Source organism: Homo sapiens, chromosome X, assembly GCF_000001405.40.
Source record: "Homo sapiens chromosome X, GRCh38.p14 Primary Assembly".
Taxonomy (NCBI): domain Eukaryota; kingdom Metazoa; phylum Chordata; class Mammalia; order Primates; family Hominidae; genus Homo; species Homo sapiens.
In genome coordinates this window covers 20,984,269-20,991,511 of record NC_000023.11, presented here as the reverse complement: position 1 = coordinate 20,991,511, position 7,243 = coordinate 20,984,269, and the positions used below count along the sequence as shown (strand labels likewise).

General features: G+C 38.5%; 1 annotated feature.

The window, feature by feature from the left end:
• Positions 717 to 1,916: an enhancer, noted in NCBI's record as "CDK7 strongly-dependent group 2 enhancer chrX:21007714-21008913 (GRCh37/hg19 assembly coordinates)". NCBI's record gives its function as "activates an origin of replication core promoter dependent on BRD2, BRD4, P300/CBP, MED14 and CDK7 cofactors, with strong dependence on CDK7, by STARR-seq in HCT116 cells {active_cell/tissue: HCT116}" and the evidence as "EXISTENCE:reporter gene assay evidence [ECO:0000049][PMID:35650434]".

Below are 7,243 nucleotides of genomic sequence, written 5' to 3'. Positions count from 1 at the left end.
GCAGCTAGGAGGGGGGATGTACCCTGCAAAGCCACAGGGACAGGGCTGCCCAAGACTGTGGGAGCCCACCTCTTGCATCAGCGTGACCTGCATGTGAGGCACAGAGTCAAAGGAGATCATTTTGGAACTTTAAGTTTTAATCACTGCCCTATTGGATTTCAGACTTGCATGGGGCCTGTAGCCCCTTTGTTCTGACCAATTTCTCCCATTTGGAATGGGCGTATTTATGCAATGGCTGTACCCCCATTGTATCTAGGAAGTAACTAACTTGCTTTTGATTTTACAGGCTCATAGGTGGAAGGGAATTACCTTGTCTCAGATGAGACTTTAGACTTGGACTTTTGGGTTAATACTGGAAGGAGTTAAGACTTTGGAGGACTGTTGGAAGGGCATAATTGTCTTTTGAAATATGAGCACATGAGATTTGGGAGGGGCCAGGGGTGGAATGATATGATTTGGCTGTGTCCCCACCCAACTCTCATCTTGAATTGTAGTTCCCATAATCCTCATGGGTTGTGGGAGGGACTGAGTGGGAGAAAATTGAATCATGGGGGCAGTTACCCCCATGCTGTTCCCATGATAATGAGTGAGTTCTCACAATATCTGATGGTTTTATAAGATGCTTTTCCCCCTTTGCTCAGCACTTCTCCTTCCTGCCACCACGTGAAGAAGGACATGTTTGCTTCCTCTTCCACCATGATTGTAAGTTTCCTGAGGCCACCAAGTCCTGCAGAACTGTGAGTCAAACTTCTTTTTTTATAAATTACCCTGCTTCGGGTAGTTCCTTATAGCAGCATGAAAATGGACTAATACATCTAGATGCCTCATATAAGTTAAATCATATAGTATTTGTCCTTTTGTGACTGGCTTATTTGAAAATGTGCTTCTTAACTCTTCCTTCCAAATTCACTAAAATTGATGCATGATATCAGGTGCTGCCACTTTCCTCTGAACTCAAGCTCTGGTGAAAATGCATGTATACCCAATACATAGTCAGCTCACTGATGGTTAGGAAAGAACAACACACATCTCATCCTCTGCCAAAAAAAAATTATTTCATTGTCCTTGCAGGAAGATTCACAGAAGGCCCATCCAGGTGCTTTATATAAAAATAACAGTTCCCTCCAGCTACCTAACCCAGATTTTAAGTTATGTAAAATGAGTTACTTAGAAGGAAAATTCTAAATAAACACATGGTAGCATTGTGGCAATGGAGTTAGCCTGATTTTTTTCAGGGGTACATCCATCCATTCCTCAAAAGATCAGGAGCAAATTTTGATTGGTCTCTGCAAATCTCTGTCATCTCATTCCCTTTCCAGTGATTGGTTTGGAGGAAAATGTAAGCCCCAGTTACATCCAGTGACTAAGGGGAAGTTAGCAAAACAGCTTCTAAGAAAGGATGTCTTGCTCTTCACAAAGGTTCACATGGAAAATATCAGTCCTTTTCTTTTTCAGGAGATTTTTACACCTATCTGTGATGCTATCTTGTGACCATGAGGAGTGCTAAGCTGAATCACAAATCCACCATGCTGAGGACAGCACAACAAAGACTTGGGGACTTAATGGTTTCAACCAGTCACTGGGTTAACAAACCCTGGAACAATCCCACCTCAAAACTTCAGGTAATATGCGATTACAATTTTTTTTATTGTTTAACCCAGTTGATATGGAGTTATCTGTTACTTGAAGACACTTAACTGATTGCATGATGTCACTTAACTGATTGCATGTAGGTTCCATGATGTCACAGGGTGATTTTCCTGGGAAGCAAATGCTGAGATGGAGTTTAGGTCACAGGATGATTCTTAAGGAGAGTCTTATGGGAGGGAGGAGAAGAAAGCAGAACTAGGCAGAAGAAATGAAGCTGTGAGGTAAGCAATGACACATGGGCTACTTCATGGAAAGATCCAAGATGGGCCAAGATAATCAGGCCTTTTTACCCTCATCTCCATTAGTCATTGGAATGCATCCGCTTGGGAAGGATATGACCTCAGGCAACTAACGCAATCTTTGCAATGATATTTGAAAATTATCTGCACCAATAGTACTCTCAGCAACTTGTGCAAGAAGTTCTTCACCAAAGAGGTATCTGGATGGTGCATGAGCGTGTCTACCACACATGATTACAGGAACCATTCAAAGAACAGACACCTACCCCAGACCCAGAAAAAATATATGTCCCTAAGACTCACAAGAGCTGCTTAACTTTTGGTAAGCTCTGGCTTATGCTAGTGATAGCAGTCACATGTTTTTGCTATACTTGCCTTAATTTAACTTCATTTTGCTTGGAGGTCAAAGGCTACTAATTGAATTGTCTGTAAATACCTATATATTACAACTAAGCTATTGTTCATTTGGGTTTAAGCCAATCAAATTTGTTTGGTGTTTACTGAATGACTAGCTAACCTTCCTTGACTTCCTTGCCAACCAGTCCCCTCTTATAACTCCTCCCTTAGCTTCTTATACACTACTCAATCTTTTGTCTGAGTTCCTCTGTCATCTGTTTCTCCGCTTAATCTTTAACCACAGGTGCTGTCTGAGGCACCATTCTCAGCACCAACTTGATTCTGTCATCAGTGTTTCACTTATTGAGCATGACCTGTCATGGTTTCTGCTCTCCTCCAAGCCTACAGAATTCTCAGGTGATTTCTAGCTCTAGCCTTTAAACCAATCATCAGCCCTGTATCTTCGGGAACCTCCCAGACATATTTATACTTTCAACTTCATGTGGTATAGAAATAATTCATTATCATTCTCCATAAAACAAACTCATTTTCCCAACTTTATAGTTCTCTTGGGTCAAATATTTATCAGTCACCATCATTCAAAATCTTGAATTCACATTTCAATGCCAGATATTAAAGACAGGGGAGAGTTAGTCATTTACCTAATTTGACTGCTTAATCTTTAAAATCTCTTTACTCTTGTTTTTTGCTCTCTTTTTCTCAGTACTTCCTCTTATTTTGATAATATTTTAAATATACTTCTGTGATCATAATTAGCATACTACATTCTAATTGCTATATGTATTTTCAACGTTTTTCAACATTTTTCCTGTACTAGACTGAAAGTTCATTGAAAGCAGGAACTACATCATTCTTCTTTGGATTCCCAATGTTTAGAACACACTTATACTATATGGTGGATGCTTAATAAGTGGTTTTGGAACAATGACTAATCCTAGCCCAATGCTTTGTCACTTCCGCATTGCATCAGTGGCCTCTTTGTGGTCTCTGTAGGTATTTTTGGTGTCCCACATCATATTTCATCCAGATCAGACTACTGCCAACAGCATCCCACTTCAGGTACTTTGAGCTGCTCCAAGCCTTCCCACCTCTGGGCTTTCTCTGAAGTTTTTTAAAACTGCTCGTCTCAAGGAAGTACTTGAGAAAACTGCACATCTCAAGCCCAGATGTGTGGGGTTATTAACAAGTCTATATAGGAAGAAAAAATCATTCCCTTTACCCTCTTATGTTCAGTACAAAGGGCACTGCAAAATAAACTGACAAAAGACAGATTAACAGGAAAAAAGACACAAAAATTTTATGTATTTTTTCCAACTTTTATTTTAGATTCAGGGGGTACATGTATAGGTGTGTTACATGGGTAAAATGTGTATTACCATGGGTAAAATGTGTATAATTGGTACAGAAATTATTTCATCACCCAAGTAGTGAGCATAGTACTTTACAGGTAGTTTTTCATTCCTCACCCTCCACACACCTTCCACCCTCAGGTAAGCCCAAGTGTATATTGTTCCCTTCATTGTGTCCATGAGTAATCAATGTTTAGCTCCCACTTATAAGTGAAAACATGCAGTATTTGGTTTTCTATTCTTCAATTAATTTGCTTAGGATAATGGCCCATAGCTTCATCCATACTGCTGCAAAAGACATAATCTCATTCATTTTTATGGCTGCATCGTAATCTATGGTATATAAGTACCACCTTTTCTTTATCCAGTCCTCTGTTGATGGACATCTAGGTTGATGCCATGTCTTTGCTATTGTGAATAGTGCTGCAATGAATATACACATGCATGTGTCTTTATGGTAGGATGATTTATACTCCTTTGGGTATATACCCAGTAGTGGGATTCCTGGGTCAAATGGTAGTTCTATTTTATTTTATTTTATTTTATTTTTTTGAGACAGGTCTCATTCTGTCACCCAGGCTGGAGTGCAGTGGCATGATCTCAGCTCATTGCAACCTCTGCCTCCCAGACTCAAGCGATTCTCCTGCCTGAGCCTCCTGAGTAGCTGGGATTACAGGCATGCACCACCACACCTGGCTAATTTTTGTATTTTCAGTAGAGACAGGGTTTCGCCATGTTGGCCAGGCTGGTCTCGAACTCCTGATCTCAAGTGATCTGCCCACCTCGGCTTCCCAAAGGGCTGGGATTACAGGCGTGAGCCACCACGCCTACGCCCGGCCAGTAATTCTAAGTTCTTCAAGAACTCTCCAGACTACTTTGCACAGTGGCTGAACTAATTTGCATTGCAACCAGCAGTGTATCAGGGTTCCCTTTTCTCTGCAACATTGCCAGCATTTGTTAATTTTTGACTTTTTAGTAATAGCCATTCTGACTGGTGTAAGATGGTATCTCATTGTGATTTTGATTTGCATTTCTCTAATGATTAGTGATGTTAAGCATTTTTCATATGCTTATTGGCTGTGTGTATGTCTTCTTTTGAAAAGCATCTGTTCATGTCCTTTGCCCATTTTTTAATGGTTGTTTGTTTTGGGCTTGTTGATTTGTTTCAGTTCCTTATAGATTCTGGATATTAGACCTTTTTCAGATGCATAGTTTGCAAGTATTTTCTCCCATTCTGTATGTTGTCTGTTTATTCTGCTGATAGTTGCTTTGCTGTGCAGAAGCTCTTTAGTTTAATTAAGTCCCACTTGTGGATTTTTGTTTTTGTTGCAATTGCTTTTGGAGCCTTCATCATGAAATCTTTGCCGGGGCCTATGTCAAAAATAGCATTTCCTAGATTTTCTTCTGTGATTTTTATGGTTTTAGGTTGTACATTTAAGTTTTAATTCATCATGAGTTGATTTTTATATATATGAAAAGGGTCCAGTTTCAGTCTTCTGCATATGGCTAGCCAGCTATCCTAGTGCTATTTATTGAATAGGGAGTATTTTCTCCATTACTTGTTATTGTCGACTTTGCTGAATATTGGAATGTTGTAGGTGTGCGGCTTTATTTCTGGGTTCTCTATTCTGTTCCATTGGTCTATGTGTCTGTTTTTGTACCAGTACCATGCTGTTCTGGTTACCAAGGCCTTGTAGTATAGTTTGAAGTTGGGTAGTGTAATGCCTCCAGCTTTGTTGTTTCTGCTTAGGATTGCTTTGGACATTAGGGCTCATTTTTTACTCCATATGAAATTTACAATAGCTTTTTCTAATTCTGTGAAAAACGACATTGATAGTTTGATATGATTAACAATAAATCTGTAAACTGCTTTGGGCAGTATGGCCATTTTAACAATATTGATTCTTCCTATCCACGAGCATGAAATGTTTTTTCCATTCATTTGTGTTGTCTCCAATTTCTTTCAGCAGTGTTTTGTCGCTAATTTCTTTCAGCAGTGTTTTGTAATTCTCGTTATTGAGATCTTTCACTTCCCTGATTAGCTGTATTCCTAGGTATTTTATTCTTTTTGTGGCTATTGTGAATGGGATTGCTTTCTTGATTTGGCCCTCAGCTTGGACGTTATTGGTGTATAGAAATGCTACTGATTTTTGTACATTGGTTTTTCTGTCCTGAAACTTTGCTGAAGTTGTTTATCAGATCTAGGAGCTTTTGGGCAGAGACAATGGGGTTTTCTACATATAGAATCAAATTGTCTGTGAAGAGAGATAGCTTGACTTTCTCTCTTCCTATTTGGATACACTTTTTTTTTTTTATTTTTCTTGCCTGCTTGCTGTGGCTAGGCAGAACTATGTTCAATAGCAGTGGTGACAGTAGGCATCCTTGTCTTGTTCCGGTTCTCAAGGGGAATGTTTCCAGCTTTTATATACCTGTTCAGTATGATGGCTGTGAGTTTGTCATAGATGGCTTATATTAATTTGAGCTGTGTTCCACTGATGTCTAGTCTATTGATAGTTTTGGATGTTGAATCTTATTGAAAGCCTTTTCTGCATCTGTTGAGATGATCATGTGGCTTCTATTTTTAGTTCTATTTATTTGATGAATCACATTATTGATTTGCATATGTTGAACCAACTTTGCATCCCAGGAATAAAGTCTACTTGATCATGGTGGACTAGCTTTTTTGATGTGCTGCTGGATTCAGTTTGTTAATATTTTTGTTAAGGACTTTTTTATCTACATTCATTAGGGATATTACCCTGAAGCTTTCTTTTTTGATTGTGTCTCTGCCAGGTTTTGTTATTGGAATGATGCTGGCCTCATAAAATGAGTTAGCAAGGAGTCCCTCCTCCTTGATGTTTTGGAATAGCTTCAGTAGGATTCATACCAACTCTTATTTATGCATCTGGTAGAATTCAGCTGTGAATCCATCTGGTCCAGGACTTTTTCTGGTTGGTAAGTTTTTTATTGCTGATTCAACTTCAGAACTTGTTATTGGTCTGTTTAGGGTTTCACTTTCTTTGTCATTCAGTCTTGGGAGGTTGTATGTTTCCAGGAATTTATCCATTTATTCTGGGTTTTCTTGTTTGTGTGCATAGAGGTAGAGGTGTTTGTAGTGGTCTCTGGGTTTTTTTTTTTTTTCCTATGGGGTTGGTGGTAATGTCCCTTTTGTCGTTTCTGATTGTATTTATTTGAATCTTCTTTTTTTCTTTATTAGTCTAGATAACAGTCTATCAATGTTATTTATTATTTTAAAGAAACAACTTTTTATTTTGTTGATCTTTCATATGGTTTTTCACATCTCAATTTTGTTCAATTCTGCTCTGGTTTTGGTTATTTCTTTTAATCTGCTATCTTTGGGGTTGGTGTGCTCTTGTTTTTCTAGTTCCTCTAGATGTGATGTGAGGTTATTAATTTGAGATCCTTCTAAATTTCGATGTGAGCATTTAGCAGTTATAAACTTTCCTCTTAACACTCCTTTAGCTGTGGCCCAGAGATTCTGGCATATTGTATCTTTGTTCTCATTAGTTTCAAAGAATTTCTTGATTTCTCCCTTAATTTCATTATTTACCCAAAAGTCATTTGGGAGCAGATTGTTTAATTTTCTTGTAATTATATGATTTTGAGAGATCTTCTTAGTATTGATTT